The sequence below is a fragment of the Homo sapiens genome, chromosome 1, assembly GCF_000001405.40.
Source record: "Homo sapiens chromosome 1, GRCh38.p14 Primary Assembly".
NCBI classification, from domain to species: Eukaryota; Metazoa; Chordata; class Mammalia; order Primates; family Hominidae; genus Homo; species Homo sapiens.
The window spans coordinates 162,996,586-163,015,278 of record NC_000001.11 but is presented as its reverse complement, the minus strand read 5'-3'; the positions used below and the strand labels follow the sequence as shown (position 1 = coordinate 163,015,278).

Here is an 18,693-nt window from a genome sequence, read left to right as displayed (position 1 = left end):
ACACAAAATAGAATACTACCTAGGCTTAAAAAGAAGCACAACTTTGTAGTTGCAACATGGATGAACCTAAAAGACATTATGTTTAAATGAAATAAGCCAATGGGGAGAAATTGGGGAAAACGGTGGATAGGAGTGCAGTTACCACTCGGACAGACAGAGCAGCGTGTGGAGACTCACATCGTGAACTTTCGCTCCAAGAACTAACACAGGAACATACCAGGAAAGCCAAGAGAATTCATAAACCCTTTTAAAGAAGTGAATTGCTCATGCAGGCCCTGGGAGACAGCCAAAAAACTGTGAGTGCCCAAAGTGTGAAAGTGTGAAAGGAGAATCGTCTACCCTCCAAAACACACCCTCAATAGGGAACCTGAAGGTTCAGATCATGGGAAAAGGATTTGACCTTACCTGGACCTGAGACAAATTTTGAGAGCCAAGCAAAATTCAGGGGTAGAGGAAGCAGCAGGAAGAGCCCTGTGGGCTCTCTCTGTCCTTAGGGAAGCCATTTCTGACTTTGTCTTGCAGAGGTCCTTGGGGAGGTTTGCCAGAAACACTGGGAAAGACCATGGGGAAAAGGAAACTTCCAACTGAACTTTGTAATAATTTTGACTAGACATGGAGTTTCCTGGACAGAACTCGGTGGAGGGGTTGAATCAGGAGTGCAGACACAGCACAGAAGCCACAGCAGGAAGGGAGGTGCAAAATCTGAAAGCCCCCTACTTAATTTCTCAGCCAAGAGGCTGGTGGCCTCGGGCAAGTTTTCAGCCCTGCTCATCCACTGCCTGGAAATAATCCCAGTGTTGTTGGGGTGGGGGGCATGGTGGAAGTGAAACCAGCCTTTTGGGCTGTGTGGGAGCTGGGTGAAGCTTGTAAACAGCTGACTTCCCCCTACTTCCCTGGCCACCTGCATGACACAGCAAAGGCAGCCATAATCCCACTGGGAACATAACTTCATTGGCCTCCTAACCACACCCTCATCCCCCTCAGCGGCTGCAGCAGGCCCCACCCAAAAAGGGTCTGAGCTCAGACACGCCTAACTCTGTCCCCCCAACCTGATGGTCTTTCTCTACCTACCTGGCACCCGAGGACAAAGGACATAATCTCTTGGGAGCTCTAGGCCCCCACCCATGGCCTGATCCTCCCTATACTACCATAGCTGATGCTGTCCTGAAAGTGCTACCTCCTGGCAGGAGGCCAACCCACAAGAAACTAGTTCAATAAATAAAACCACAACTAAGGGCCCTCACAGAGTCCATTTCACTCCCCTGCCACCTCTACTGGAGCAGCTGCTGCTATCCATGGCTGAGAGACCTGAATGAAGATGGTTGACATCACAGAACTGTGCAGACAGCCGCCAGTACCAGCCCGGAAACCAATAGCTCTGCTGGGTGGCTAGATCTAGAAGAGAAATAACAATCATACAATTTAGCTCTCAGGAATCCACATCACTAGGGGAAGGGGGAGAACCTACATCAAGGGAGAACCCTGTGGGACAAAAGAATCTGAAGAGCAGCTCTTGGGCCCCAGATCTTCTCTCTGACATAGTCTACCCAAATGAGAAGGAACCAGAATAAGAATTCTGGTAATATGACAAAATAAAGGTTTTTGACACCCCACCTCCAAAAAGCTCCTAGAACTGATACATGAAGTCAACAAAGTTTCAGGATACAAAATTAATACACACAAATCAATAGCTGTGCTATACACCAACAGTGACCAAATTGAGAATCAAATCAGGAACTCAGCCCCTTTTACAATAGCTGCAAAAATAAAATATTTAGGAGTATACCTAACCAAGGAGGTGAAAGACCTCTACAAGGAAAACTACAAACACTGCTGAAATAAATCATAGACAATGCAAACAAATCAAAACACATCCCATGCTCACGGATGGGTAGAATGACCATACTGCCAAAAGCAATCTAAAAATTCAATGCAATTCCCATCAGAATACCACCATCATTCTTCACAGAAATAGAAAAAAACAATTCTAAAATCTGTATGGAACAAAAAAGAGTACTCAGGGCCAAAGCAAGACTAAGCAAAAAGAACAAATTTGGAGGCATCACATTACCTGACTTCAAACTATCTGATAAGGCCATAGTCACCAAAACAGCATGGTACTGGTATAAAAATAGGCACACAGACCAATGGAACAGAATAGAGAACCCAGAAATAAACCCAAATACTTACAGCCAACTGATCTTTGGCAAAACAAACAAAAGCATAAATGGGGGAAAAGACACCCTATTCAACAAATGGTGCTGGGATAGTTGGCAAGCCACATGTAGAAGAATGAATCTGGGCCAGGCGCGGTGGCTCGTGCCTGTAATCCTAGCACTTTGGGAGGCCAAGGTGGGTGGATCACGAGGTCAGGAGATCGAGACCATCCCGGCTAACATGGTGAAACCCCGTCTCTACTAAAAATACAAAAAATTAGCCGGGTGTGGTGGCAGGCGCCTGTAGTCCCAGCTGCTTGGGAGGCTGAGGCAGGAGAATGGTGTGAACCAGGGAGGTGGAGCTTGCAGTGAGCGCGATCGCACCACTGCACTCCAGCCTGGGCGACAGAAGGAGACTCTGCCTCAAAAAAAAAAAAAAAAGAATGAATCTGGATACTCATCTCTCACCTTATACAAAAATCAACTCAAGATGAATCAAGGACCTAAATCTAAAACCTGAAACCATAAAAATTCAAGAAGATGACTTCAGAAAAAAACCCTTCTAGATATTGGTTTAGGCAAAGGCTTCATACCAAGAACCCAAAAGCAAATGCAACAAAACCAAAAATAAATAGATGGGACTTAATTAAACTAAAAAGCTTCTGCAAAGCAAAAGAAACAATCAGCAGAATAGACAACTCACAGAGTGGGAAAAAGTCTTCACAATCTATACATCTGACAAAAGGACTAATATCCAGAATCTACAAGGAACGCCAACAAATCAGGAAGAAAACAAACAAACAAACAATCCCATCAAAAAGCGGGCTAAGGACATGAATAGAAAATTCTCAAAGGAAGATATACAATTGGCCAAGAAACATGAAAAAATACTCGACATCTAATGATCAGTGAAATGTAAATCAAAACCACAATGCAATACCACCTTACCACTGCAAGAATGGCCATAATCAAAAAATAATAGATACTGGCACGGATATGGTGAAAAGGGAACGCTTTCACACTGCTGGTGGGTATGTAAACTAGTACAACCACTATGGAAAACAGTGTGGAGATTCCTTAAAGAACTAAAAATAGAACTACCATTTAACCCAGCAATCTCCCTACTGGGTATCTATCTACCCAGAGGAAAAGAAGTCATTATATGAAAAAGATACTTGCAAATGCATGCCTATAGCAGCACAATTTACAATTGCAAAAATATGGAACCAGTCTAAATGCCTATCAATCGATGAGGGATAAAGAAATTGTGAGATATATATATATATATATATATATACACACACACACACACACACACACACATACACGCACACCATTGAATGCTACTCAGTCACAAAAAGGAATGAAATAATGGCATTTGTAGCAACCTGGATGGAATCAGAGATCATTATTCTAAGTGAAGTAACTCAGGAATGGCAAACCAAAATCGTATGCTCTCACTCATAAGTGGGAGCTTAGCTGTGAGGATGTAAAGGCATAAGAATGATATGATGAACTTTGAGGACTCAGAGGAAAGGGTGGGGGTGAGAGATAAAAGATTACACGTTGGATACAGTGTACACTGCTCAGGTGATGGGCGCACCAAAATCTTAGAGATCATCACTAAAGAACTTATTCATGTAACCAAACACCACCAGCTCCCCAAAAACCTATTGAAATTTAAAATAGAAAAAAAAAGAAATAAGCCAGGCACAGAAAGACAAATATTATAGGACCCCACTTATATGTGGAATCTAAAAAAGTTGACCTCATAGAAGTAGAATGGTGAATATCAAGGACTGCAGGTGGAAGAGTGCAAGACTGGGAGATGTTGGTTAAAGGATACAAAATTTCAGTTAGATAAGAAAAATAGATTCAAGAGATTTATTGTACAACATCATGACTGTAGTAAATAACAATGTATTTTGAAAATCACTGAGAGTAGATTTTAAGTGTTCTCACCATAAAAAAGTGGCAAATATATGAATTAATGCATACATTAATTTGCTTGATTGAGTCTACCATACATAGCTCCAAACATCATGCTTCACATGATAAAAATATACAGTTTTGTCAGTAAATATATATACAAATTTTTTTGAACTCAAGAGAAACTAATCGAACAGCCACACTAATTGAGGTATGGAGGAGATGGTCAAGCATCTATTGAAGGAATCTTATAGTGACTATTATCTTAGCTTTTTGTTTTCTTTTTAAATAGAGACAGAGTCTTGCTATGTTGCCCAGGCTGGTCTCGAACTCCTGGGCTCCAGTGCTCTACCTGCCTTGGCTTCCGAAAGTGCTGGGATTATGGGCGTGAGCCACCATGCCTGACCTCTTTTTTTTTTTTTTTTTAATGTGAAAGCAAGTTTATTAAGAAAGTAACGGAATAAAGAATGGCTACTCTATGGGCAGAACAGCTTAACTGTTATTCAAAGCAAACTGAATGAAAAGGATATTGCTGAGAAAAAAATGGCGACCAGAAAGGAAAAAAGAAATAAGGGGTAGAAAATTTTTAACATTTAATAAACCTTCAAATAGGTAAACTATGTCTGATCATCCAATCTCCCAATTTTGCTCGTTTGATGACATAACCAGTATTACTTGTTCTTAAGCCATCAAAGTCACACTTTGTCAGTTTGTCAGGGTAGAGTGTTAGCATACATATGTAGGAGGGTGAAAAAAAATTATCTTTTCAGCTGGCACCAATATTTTTGTTAGGAAGTAACAATCTTAGTTTAAGAAAATACTCCGATAAATATGTGGGGAAGGAAGCTAAAACTTTGGGCGTGGCTTGGTAAGAGATAGGATTAAAGTAAATAAGCTGCTTTTAAGGATAAATGAACAAGAAGGAGAACAGAAAATACAAGGACAAACAAAATGAAAATTTTTCAGGTGAAAAGTCTGCTACTAAGTTGGTAGAAATGGGAGGTGGATTATTATAAAATATTAAGAGATATTTTAGTAGAGTTTCAGATTTACAGGATAACTGAGGACATAGAATGTATACTTCCATATATCCATCCCCTCCATCTCCCACCTCTGCAGTTTTCCCTGTTTTCAATACTTTGACCTAGAATAATGACTGACATTTGTAACATTTGTTATAATTAATAAATCAATATTTAAGATTATTAACTATACTCCATAGTTTACATTAAAGTTCTATTCTGTGTTGTACATTGTATGGGTTTTGAGAAATGCATAGTGATATATATCCACCATTACAGTTTCACATGAAATAGTTTCCCTGTCCTAAAATCACTTGTGCTCTACCTATTCATTTCTCCCCTCCCTCTCACATCCCCTCACACCTGATCTTTTCACTGTCTCTATTGTTTTATCTTTTCCAAAATGTCATATAGTTGGAATCATACAGTATATATCCTTTTCAGACTGGCTTCTTTGACTTACCAATATGTGAGCAAGTTTCTGCCATGTCTGTGTGTGTGTGTGTGTGTGACAGAGTCTCGCTCTGTCACCCAGGCTGGAGTGCAGTGGCGTGATCTTGGCTCACTGCAACCTCCGCCTTCCAGGTTCAAGAGATTCTCCTGCCTCAGCTTCCCGAGTAGCTGGGATTACAGGTGTGCACCACCATACCCAATTAATTTTTGTATTTTTAGTAGAGTTGGGGTTTTGCCATGTTGGCCAGACTGGTCTCGAACTCTTGACCTCAGGTGATCCGCCTGCCTCAGCTTCCTAATGTGCTGGGATTACAGGCTTGAGCCACCATGCCCCGCCACCTCCATGTCTTTTCATGGCTTGACAATTCATTTCTTTTTAGCATTGAATAATATCCCATTGTATGATGTACCAAGTTTGTTTATCCATTCACCTACTGAAAGATATCTTGATTGCTTCCAGTTTTGTGTGATTATTAAATAAAGCTGCTATAAACATTCATGTGCACGTTTTTGTGCGGACAGAAGTTTCTCACTCAATTGGGTAAACAGGCATGTGATTGCTAGATCAAATGGTAAGAGTATTTTACCTTCATAAGAAACTGTCAATCAGAGGATTTTTTAAAAGAAGTTTTTTTTTTCATTTGCTCAAAGAAAGTAGCTCCACTTCGAGTTGAACAATGAGAACACATGGACACAGGGAGGGGAACATCACACGCCTGTCGGGGGGTGGGGGGCTAGGGGAGGGATAGCATTAGGAGAAATACCTAATATACGTGACGGGTTGATGGATGCAGCAAACCACCATGGCACGTGTATACTTATGTAACAAAACTGCACGTTCTGCACATGTACCCCAGAACTTAAAGTATATAATAAAGAAAGAAAGAAAGAAAGAAAGTAGCTCCACTTCAAATCCTTCCCCTCCCCCTTTCTAAAAAAATATTTAAGCAAAATTTTCTATATGTCCAAAAGCCATGTTGGCATGGATGTGTTGAAAGGTGAGAATATGGAGTAGTCTTTGGGAATGGAGGTGGCAGGAAGTGAACTGGAAACTAAGTGCCTGTCTGGATGGATACAATGTAGAATGAAGAAAGCAGGGTGTGGACATCAGGACAGCTGATGAACTTAACTAATCTAATCAAAGCAGAAGTTTAGAATCTGAGGCGGCCATGAAAATACAAGCCTTCCACCATAAGCTCAGGAATTTGCAGAAATCCTGGGAGAAAATTAAAGTTTTCTCAGGATATGGAAGAATGTTTCAGCTAACTTGTTTTCTTTGTTTTTTGTTTTGTTTTGGTTTGGTTTGGTTTGGTTTGGTTTAGACTGAGTCTTGCTTTGTTTCCCAGGCTGGAGTGCAGTGGTGCAATCTCAACTCACTGCAATCTCTGCCTCCCAGTTTCAAGCGATTCTTCTGCCTCAGCATCCAGAGTAGCTGGGACTACAGGTGCATGCCACCATGTCTGGCTAATTTTTTTTTTCTTTTTTAGTAGAGATGGGGTTTTACCATGTTGGTCAGGCTGGTTTTGAACCCCTGACCTCAAGTGATCCCCCCACCTCAGCCTTCCAAAGTGTTGGGATTACAGGCGTGAGCCACCACACCTGGCCAAGCTAACCTGTTTTCACTGGTTCTGATCAGGCCCCTCTGTCAATCCTTTTTCCACACTATGGCCAGAGTAATTTATCTAAAGTTCCAATCTGATCATATAGTTTTAGGGTACTGTCTTCCTGAAAATGGAAGTGCATGCATCTACTTGGTCAATAACCCTCAGTGACTCCCTGTGACCTAGAGACAAAGTACTGTATTCTTGGTCAGGTACATGGTGCTCCCATCCCTTTCCTGTGGCATCTAGTTCACTATCCATCTCCTACCACTCTCACACTTGGCACTGAGCACTCCATGCTGCTCAGCACTGAACATACTTAGTATTGGGCATGCTTAGCACTGAACATGTTTGACACTGAACATACTTAGCCCTGAACACTCTATGCTTCATGCTCCTCATACTCTATGCTGCTCCGGGACGTTGCAATTTTGCTCATGTTGTGCCTGGAATGTCCTTCTCACTTTTCTTTACCTGCGTAACGCTTGCTTATCTTTGGGATTCAGCTTCGACATCTTTTCTTCTAGGATATTCTAAGTGTTTTCTGCATTTTCTTTTTTTTTTTTTTTTTTTTTTTTTTTTTGAGACGGAGTCTCGCTCTGTCGCCCAGGCTGGAGTGCAGTGGCGCGACCTCGGCTCACTGCAAGCTCCGCCTCCCGGGTTCACGCCATTCTCCTGCCTCAGCCTCCCGAGTAGCCGGGACCACAGGCGCCCGCCACCACGCCCGGCTAATTTTTTGTATTTTTAGTAGAGGCGGGGTTTCACCGCGTTAGCCAGGATGGTCTCGATCTCCTGACCTCATGATCCGCCCGCCTCTGCCTCCCAAAGTGCTGGGATTACAGGCGTGAGCCACCGCGCCCGGCCTGTTTTCTGCATTTTCAAAGGCCCTTTTGGATATCTTTATTCTTTTTTTTTTCTCATGTGTTTGCTGTCCACAATTATATAGACTTCTTAAAAGTAATATCGTTTCATACCATCTTAGTATTTCTATCATGCCCAGCACAGTGCCTTATTTATGTTTGTCACTTATATGTCTTGAAAATAAAGTTAACTCAATACAGGCTTTAAGGCAGGGCTTCATTAGTGACAGTGAATTACACAGGAGGGAATTCAGACACCAAAGAAATCAGGGATTGTGCGGCTTAGGTCCTTTAGGAAGCAGATGCCAAGAAGAAGATAAAAGTCCAGTAGATTATTGGGGACAATCCTTGTGAAAGATAAGAAAGAGGAAGCAAGGAACTTTCCAGACTAGAATGCAGTTTCAATACTATGAAAATAGAGAGGGTAGGAAGGAAGATTGGGTAGGAAGATGCTCAAACAGCTTTGAGGTCTCAGCCAGCCCAAAATGAGGTTCCAGAGCAAATTATCCTTTAGAGAATTTCCACATGGCACAGAAATGAGCAATCACTAACACACCCACTATGCGCAGGCACTGGTTAGCACTGCTTAGGCAGACTGTGGCTTAGGCTTGAATACTGCAATGGATCCTGAAGGTGCTGCAGGCTGTAAACTGACTGCCCTCCGTTTGGCACATTCTCTCTAGAAGTAAGATCTGAGAGGAGCTCCATCATGGCTGCCACAGAGACTCGGAGAAGTGAGAAGAGCTAGGCAGCTTCCTCTTTATCCAAAGGCAAGTATTCACATCGTACTTCCATTACGTTGTTGGAAATACTGTGGATTTCCAAAATCTCAAAATAATAAAATCTGAAAGTTGCATATATAAATACGTACCGTAGTCAAATGTGAAAATTTTGATCATATCTGTTGTTTTTAATTATGACTTCCAAAGCCTTTGAAATAGAACATTAAGAGCTAGCTGCCTGCCACTCCACTGCCAGTCAGTTTCCCCACCCACACGAAACTGAAATCTACCTATTTATCTATTCCTTCTTTAATTTTTATGCGTAGGAATTTCTCTTGGGTGTTCGCTTCCTATAAATGGAAATGCATGAATTTTTTCTAAATTTTCAAAGTTGAATATTTATGAAAATATGTCAGTGCAAAACATGTATTAATAGCAAGATTTAAACTAAAAATAATGATGCTATTTCTATTCACTAGCTAACATCTCTTAAAGTTCCTAAACAAAGAGAAAAGAAATCATGCAGCTTGGGGAAAATTTATTTATCGGGCAAAGCATATGGATAGTGTGTGCAATCAGAGATTGTCAGAAAACACAGTGATATTCTATTTCTTCTTTTCGCACTTTTTACATTTTTGTTTTGCTACCAGCCTTGTTAATAATGGATGTACTCAATGACACCTGCCTACCTTAAAGCATTTTTGTTGTAAATATTTTAATGGCTGTTATGGAAACAGCTGTGAACAACTCATTGTAAAGATCTGGAGTTAATGATCATACTGAAGTCCATTGCCTTGGAGCCTCGCAAAGGTATTTTTCAATTGTGCTACCATCTTTTATTAATAGCCTTTAAATAGGATCACTTTGTTGAAACAGTTATATAACATAAGATTCTAGTTCATTATGCATACCAACAAATTATTAAATTAGCTTAGGCTCACTTATATTAACTGATATCAAATTGCACATGAAAAGTAATTTTCCAGACCCAGTTTCATTAAGTAATGAGAAAGGAGGCTTGAGATTTTATTCAACCTAGTAGTGTGCTAGTATCCCCTCTTTTTTAACACTTATAAATAAATGATATTCTTGATTAAAATGAAACCTATCCCTTAAGTAATTATTACTAATTATATGAACGTTTCATTTATCAATCTCTCCCAAACATGTTTCTCCTGTAATGTTTTCTGTCTCAGAAAATGACATCTCCTTCCAGAAGTTACCAATTTCTACTAATTTTTTCTGCAACATGTATCTCATATTTTCATTTTCTCCTTCACTACTACTAAACCAGTCACAAAAAATTTGTCTCTTGCCTGAACTATTGCAATAACTTTAAAAATAATTTTAATATAATGATTTCCTGCTATACAATTTCCATATAGCAGCTAGAGTAATAATTTTCAAAAAGCAAATTTATCATATCACTATTGTACTTAAAACATTTTTATGGCTTCTATTTACAGTTAGAATAAAATCCGAAATTCTTCATCTGATACCATGCTCTGTGGTATCTGGTACCTTTCTCTCTCTCCAGCATCATTTCCCACCTTTCTTCAGAATTACTAGTCTCTTGACATACACTCTCTTTCCCTCCTCGAGCCTTTCCTGCATTCTATCCCATGTGTTCTCCCTGGATTTTCCTTCTCCTTTTCTTCTCTGCACTGACTGCTACTTATCTTTTAGGCGTCAACTTCAGTGTTGCTTCTTTAGAAAGAAAATCTTCCCTAGCATGATAGAGTGCATTATTGACCTAAATTATTTTCTCCCTTCTGCATCCGTGCCCTGTCTATGTCCTCATCATGGGCAGAGAATGTTCCCTGCCTTGGACTTTGGGCTTAGCTATGTGACTTACTTTGTCTAATAGTGACAATTTTTTAGGTCAAGCCCAGGTCTTAAGAGATTTCAATGGATATGTCAGTCAGGGTTTTCCAGAGAAACAGAACCAATACTGTGTGTGTGTGTGTGTGTGTGTGTGTGTGTGTGTGTGTACGTGCACAGACACGTATACATATATATAGAAAGAGACAGAGATTGTAAGAAGTTAATTGTGGAAGCTGTGATTCTTGAAATGTTTTCAGCAGGCCAGCAGGCTGAAAATTCAGGTAAGAGTTGATGGTGCAGTCTTAGTCTGAAATCTGTAGGGCAAGACAGCAAGTTGGAGACTCCAGCAGGATTTCTATATTATAGTCTTGAGGCAAAATTCCTTCTTTTCCTGGAAACATCAATCTTTGCTCTTAGACCCCACCCACACAGGGTAATCAGCTGTACTTAAAGTCAATAGATTGTAAATGTTAATCTACAAAATATCTTTACAGCAACAGTTGTACTAGTTTTTGATCAAAAAACTGGATACCATGGCTAGCCAAGTTGACACCTAAAATTAACCATCACAATGAGTTTGTGCTTGACTCTGATACCTGTACCAACTCTATGAGAAGAAGATGCCTTGGCTAGCCCACTGGTCCACGGAGCATGAAGAACATGTGGAGCACAGCCACAGCAGTGGAGCCCAGCTTGGGCCACCCAACCCTTAGTTGACCAGCAGACACCAGAGAAAGTTCTGCTAAAATTAGTCACGGCAACCAGCAGAGCTCAGCCAGGATCAGTGGACTCCAACTGACCTGCAGCATGTAAGAGGTAATAAATGGTTCTTCTTACAAGACATGGGAGGTTAGCACAATGCAGAAAGGGAAGTCTCTTCAACAAAATGTGTCAGGAAAACTGGACATTCACATGCAGAAGAATGAAATTAGACGCTTATCTCTCATGATATACTAAAATCAATTCAAAATGGATTAAAGACTAAAATGTAAAGCCTGAAACTATGAAACTCCTAGAAGAAAACATAGGGGGAAAGCCCCATGACATTAGCCTGGGCAATGATATTTTTTATATCTCCTCAAAACACAGGCAACAAAAGCAAAAATAGAAAAACAGGATTATATCAAACTAAAAAGCTTCTGCACAGCCAAGGAAAAAAATCAACAAAGTGAAGAAACAACCTACAGAATGAGAGAAAACATTTGCAAACTATACATCTGATGAGGGGTTAATATCCAAAATATATAAGAAATTCAAACAACTCAATAGCAAGAAAACAAATAACACAATTAAAAAATGGGTAAAGGACTCGAATAAACATTTCTCAGAAGAAGGCATACAAGTGGCCAACAGGAAATGGAAAAGTGCTCACCATCACTAATCATCAGGGAAATGTAAATCAAAACCACAATGAGATATCACCTCACTCTAGCTAGAATGGCTATTGTCGAAAAGACAAAAAGTAACAAGTGTTGGCAAGGATGTGGAGAAAGGGAACACTAGTGTATTGGTGGGAATGTAAATTAGTACAGCCATTGTGGAAAACAGTGTGAGGTTCCTCAATAAACTAAAAATAGTACTACCATATGATCCAGCAATTCCACTACTGGGTGTATATCCAAGGGAAATGAAATCAGTATATCAAAGAAATATCTGCACTTGCATGTTTATTGCAGTATAGGCAAGATATGGAATCAACTTAAGTGTCCATCAGTGGATGAATGAATAAAGAAAATGTGGTATATATGTACAAGGGAATACTATTCATCCATCAGAAAGAAGTAAATTCTGTCACTTGTGACTATGTGGATAAACCTGGAGGACATTATGTTAGGCGAAATAACCCAGGCACAGAAAGACAAACGCTGAATGATTTTATTCATATGTGAAATGTAGAAAAGTAGAGTAGAATGATGCTTACTAGAGGCTGGGACGGTTGGGGGTTGGGGTGAGTATGGGGAGATGGGGAGATATGGTCAACGGATACAAAATTTCTGATAGATAAGAGGAATACATTCAAGAGATCTATTTCCCAGCAAGGTGACTATAGTTAAAGATAAATATATTGTATCCTTGAACAATGCAAAGAGAGTGATGTCGCCACAAAGTGACAACTATGCTAGATAATATATATGTTAATTAGATTTAACCATCCCACGATGTTTATATACTTCAAAATGTCATGTCGTACATGATAAACACATACAATGTTATCTGGCAATTTAAAAAAATATTAAGTGAAGAAAATGACACCGAGTTTAGGAATGAAGTGTTCCATAACCATAGTTAATTGATACAACCAGTTTTAGAATTCAAAATAGGCACCCAGCTATATACTCTTGTAACTCCTTGTGTCTTTCCATCACAGCATCTAGCACACTTGCCCAGTCATACATTTATTCATGCAAGTGATTACTGAATTCATGTCTGTCTCTCCATTATGCTCTAAATTCTGGAGGATGGAGAACAGGAACTGTGTCTGTCCTGTTCTACTCTCAGAGCCTAATGCCTGCTGTATGATAAATATTGATAACACTTGGCTGATACTGAAATGCTTCGTATTGAATGCTTTCCATCTAAGGTTCATAAAAGTGAAAAATATTGGCCAAGATATTATGGCTTTTAAGTGGAGGAACCAATATGTACACTCAAGTCTGTCTTTCCTTTTAAACAAAGACAAATTCTAGAGGAAGAAATTATGTTGTTAGTGCTAGCATAACTTCCTTTTAATGCCCTGATTAAAATAAAACTTCAAACATTCGAAGGTAATACAGCATAGTTACTATTTACAACATGGTCTCGAATGACCACACTCAGAAGATACTAAACCTGGGACATGACGAATGAGAAGATGCCACCCAGCACAGAGTGGAGGTAAGACAAACATCCCAGACAGAGGGACTAGCAAGGGCAAAGACCCAAGACAGGAAAGTGTCAGCTTGTTTGAAGAACTGAACAGAAGGGCAGTGTGGCTGCAAGAGGTTAGCAATGGGACTGTGTCCTGAGGCTGGAGAGGGAGTCAGGAGCCAGGGCCTGTAGGACCTTATTACCTAATAAGGTGTTTGGATGTTAAGCACCACAGGAGCCTGTGGAAGAGTTTAAATACTGAAGTGACATGATGGTTTTGAAAACATCACCTTTCATGTGAAGAACTGATAAGGAGGCTTGAGGGAAAGCGAGGAAGAAAGGGTCTTCAGTGCATGGTTATGGCTGAGGCAATGACATCACAACAAGGAGAAGGAATAAAATGAAAAGAAAGCAGGGCCAAGAGGAAAATCAGCTTCACCTGGGCTGGGTGATTGTATAGGTGGCTGAACTGGAGGTCCTAAACCTAGAGTGTGGTTAGGATATAGGAGGATGTATCTGGTGGTCTGTTCAGGGTTCTGGCCTTAGCCATTGTATCAGAATGATTCCCAGAAAGAAACAAATGGCATAAATAACTGGGTAATTTGAGGAGAGTTTAATAAAGGGATATTTACAAATATGTCGCAAGTTTTTTTGTAAACCAATAGAGAATAGAGCACTGCCCCAGGGGCTAAAAAGAGCTGGTTCTGTCACCACCCAAGGCCTGAAAGGGTAAGGGGAGGGGATGGTTACCCACACCTAAAGCAGGACTGCTGACAGGAGCTATAGTCGTTGGCCTTGGAAATAAGGCAGGGATGGAGCCAGAGGGATAAACACTCTGACCTCAGGTCTCTTGCAAGTGCCTCCGATGGGAGGCAGTGAGCAGAACCCTCTGGAAGTCAGAGCTCAAGGGAGTCTGTTGATGCAGCCCAAATGAGCCAGCCTCCCAGGGCACAGAGCAAGGGGAAGAAGGAGAGTATGGGGGCAAACAGAACACATTCAGTATAGCCATTATCTTATTTAACAATTTTATTCTCAAGTTGAATGTGAATAATTAATATTATCTTATTATTACATTAAGTTAATGACATGCTTATAAAAATAATAATTACAAAGCGAGAAAAGAGGTGAATACATTATCTGACAGTTTTCTAATACTTTAAGCTGGAGTAATATCCAACGTAGCAAATTGTTAATTATAGTCCAAATATAACAAGAGAAAATATACTGTACATACAGGTAACCTCCCCCTCTGGTTTGGCTGAAAATCTAGTTGTACAATTTCAGAATGCTAAAGAAAAAATAGCTCAATAGCTACACACAAAACAAAAAGGTGTCAAGTTTAGTTGACTATAGTCTTAGGTAAAAATGTAACATGGGTTTAGAATAAAAGAACTTTTATTTTAGAATTATTTCTTTTAGGGACACCTGACATTGAGATTTTGGTTACATGTCTGAGAACTCAGCCATGCTGCGCAATGAAGGGTGTAATAATATTTCTTGACCAACGCAACTGGTCTACTGACATAAACATGCACCCAACTTGCAGAACACAGAGAGCTAGTAGCTACAAGAAATGGTATTCCTGGTTAGTTCAAATTTTGTTTTATCCAAAGAGCCAAAAGTTAGCTCACTCTGGTCATTAGGATTAAGGGATGGCATTTTACAGTAAAAATGGGCCAAATTGAAAGAGCCAGTTATAGCTAGGATGACTATCATTATTGCCCAAACCAAGCACATTTGCAGGTAGAAGAGCATGGTATTAACAGTTGTTCTAGGACAACAAACATAAACTGGGACTTCCCTGTAGAAGCCGTGATGTATGGTCACCCTAGGCTGAGCATGGTAATTAAGAGTATGGCCTCTGAAGATGGACTGTGCTGGATTCAAAATTGTGAGCCATTATTGGCTGTGTGGCCTTGGGCCATTACCTCACATCTCTTTATTCCTGTTCCCTTACCTGTAAGGCTGAGATTTCTATAATAGTACCTTCCTTATAATATTGCTTAGGTTTAAATTAGTTGACACATGCATAGCATTTATAGTGCCTGATATATAATAAGACCTATGGAAACTTTTGCAATTATTGTACATATTGAATGAGCAAGTATACACCTAGGTTCTAACATTGGTTCTACCATGTGTGATCTTGCTGTGTGAACTTGGTCAAGTAAGAAGGACTCTCGGTCTCATTTTCCTCACCTGTAAAATAAGGCTAATGAGTTGGTATATGGAAAGATCTACACATACAGCAGAACAGATATCAGACATTACATGGATTTTAATTTTCTTTTTTTAAAAAATGTTTTTTCTCCTTGCTGCCTGCCTTTCTTTCTCTTTTTAAAAATATTTTTGTTCTCCTATGGTAGAAAAATACAATAAAACTAGACAGTTAAACTAGTAGGCAAAGGACAGAGAAAGGGATGTTTTGTACTTACTTATTCTTCTATTCAAAAATATTTATCATTCTACTATTTGCCAAACACCATACTGGGGCCTATGACTCCTCTGCCAACAGAAGTATTCATTTGTAGTAATCTTACCTCCTTCTAGCTAAAATTAATGCTTGCTGTCTTACAGCCACCACATTCAGAATGAAGCACAATACAGGGCTGTGAACTAGTGGCTTCTGCCTTTGGTTGCACTTGCATTGGAATCTCCTTCGAGTTGCTATTCTGAAATTCAAACATCTGTACTTCCACTTGCCCAGATCTATGAGGTCTGCCTCTTCCTTCTGTTTCCTTTTATTTATCTCTGAGACCCCTCCAGATAACCAAACACTGCATCTTGGCCCATTCTGGCCAGCCCTCGGTTATTGCCCTACCCTGACAGGTTATAACTGAACGAGTCTATTTATTGGACAAAGCCTTCTTCCCTTCTCATCTACCTCCCCCTAGCTGCCCTTCTCCTCTTCCACCCTCCATTCTGAAAACCTTGTCTTCACCAAATGGCTATTGACCATCTACTGTGCCAGGGAATGTGCTAGAGATACAAAGATGAATAAGTTATAATTCTTGACTTCAAAGTGTTCATAGTCCAAAGCAGATTTTTTTTTTTTACTTGAGGAATATGGGAGCCTATGGATGTACTTCCAAGGCCCTCTAGATCCCTTCATGTATACAAAATATGGTGATATACATACATACGTTTTTTTCTCCCTGTAAAGAGAATATAAAGATTTCATTGGATTTTCAAAGGTGCCTGTTAGCTAACAACAACAAAACAAAACAAACAAACAAAAAACACTTAAGAATCACCTGGGTCTTGGGATCTTCTGCTGCAGCAAAACTGATTTTAGTTCAGTTGTTCTCAACCATGGCTGCACACGGGAATCACCTGCAGAGCTTAAAAAATACTGGTGCCTGGATCTCAACACCAGAAATTCAGATTTTATTTGTCTAGGGTACAGCCTGAGTTTTGAGATTTTTTAAATTAATACACTTTATTTTAAAAAATTATGTTTAATAAACTGTATTTTTAGAGTTATTTAGATTTACCAAACATATTAAAAATATTAAGCTACTAGTACAGAGTTATACATGGTACAGATGGTACAGATATACCATCACTCCCTTCAGACAGTTTACCCTATTATGAATATATTATATAAGTTACATTTGTTGCAATTAACAAATCAATGGTGACACAGTTTTTAACAACAAAAGTTTATACTTAATTCAAATTTTCTTAGTTTTTACTTAATTTTCTTTTTTGTTCCAGGATCTCATCCAGGTTACCATATTGTATTTAGTCATCATGCATTCTTAGGCTATTCTTGGCTCAGACAGTTTCTCAGACCTTCTTTGTCTTTGACAATGTTTACAGTTTTGAGAAGTATTGGTCTTGTATATTATAGGATGCCCTTCTACTAGAATTGGTCCGATGTTTTCCTCATGGTGAGACTGGAGTTATGGGTTTTGAAGAGGAAGATTACAGAGGTAAAGTGCCATTTTCATCTGTTAAGGGTGTATAATGTCAACATGATAAATGTCTGTCGATGTTGATATTGATGACCTGTCTAAAGTAGTGATTGTCAGGTTCCTCCATTGTAAAATGTGTTCCCTCTGTCCATACTGTCTTTGGAAGGATGTTAACATGATCATCCCACACTTAAGGAATGGGGAGTTATGCTTCCTCTCCTCACTGGTGGAGTAATTTCTTTGGAATTCAGCACATAATTTATTTGGAATTCTGCACAGATTTGTCTCTTTTCCTCTATTCACTAGTATTTTTTTCAAAAAATTTGCTCAAATTATTCCATATTTGGACATTGGGAGCTCTTTCACATATGGATCACTCTAGCCTCCCCACTTTGCTTGTCTTTAACCTCCAATTCCAACAGTCAGAAACCTGGCTCCCACCATAGGCCATTTACTTAATTGTTTAATTCAAAGTATACATGTACAGTGGTATCAAAATTTTTAACCTGTACCTTTAATAGGAAACAGTTTTATCAACAAGAATAAAGTGCTTATCTGTAGTTTTGCCTTTAGTCTTACAAACTCCATTTATTCCTAAAGTCACTTAGGTTAGCACCTTTTCCACAGCCTCTTTAGTGAGGTTGCTTCATATATTTATAATACAGTTAGATTCTCTTGTCACAGTCTACTAGGTGATCCTAGACCGCTTAAATATTTTTTAAAATTTTTGTTACTTTAAAGTTCACTCTTTATGTTGTATAGTACTATGTATTTTGACAAATGCATAATGTCGTGTATCCATATTACGGTATCATACAGAATAGTTTTATTGCCCTAAAAATCCCCTGTGCTTCACCTATTCATTGCCATCACCTGCCACCCACCTCCCAAATCCCTGGCAACCACTGATCTTTTTTCTATCTCTATAGATTCACCATTTTCCAGAATGTAATATAATTGGAATAATATATAGCCTTTTTTTTTTTTTTTTTTTTTTTTGAGACGGAGTCTCGCTCTGTCGCCCAGGCCGGACTGCGAACTGCAGTGGCGCAATCTCGGCTCACCGCAAGCTCCGCTTCCCGGGTTCACGCCATTCTCCTGCCTCAGCCTCCCGAGTAGCTGGGACTACAGGCGCCCGCCACCGCGCCCGGCTAATTTTTTGTATTTTTAGTAGAGACGGGGTTTCACCTTGTTAGCCAGGATGAATATATAGCCTTTTAAGACTGGCTTTTTTCACTCAGCTATGTGCCTTTAAGTTTCTTCCATATATTTTCATGTCTTGATAGCTCACTTCTTTTTATTGCCGAACAATATTCCATTGTATGAATTTGCCACAGTTTGTTTATCTGTTCACATATTAAA

The 18,693-nt window shown here is 39.6% G+C and overlaps 1 annotated feature.

Moving 5' to 3' along the window:
- Positions 13,190-13,691: an enhancer, noted in NCBI's record as "NANOG hESC enhancer chr1:162971378-162971879 (GRCh37/hg19 assembly coordinates)". NCBI's record gives its function as "activates a minimal SCP1, AML or CMV promoter by ChIP-STARR-seq in naive H9 embryonic stem cells {active_cell/tissue: H9 hESC(naive)}" and the evidence as "EXISTENCE:reporter gene assay evidence [ECO:0000049][PMID:30033119]".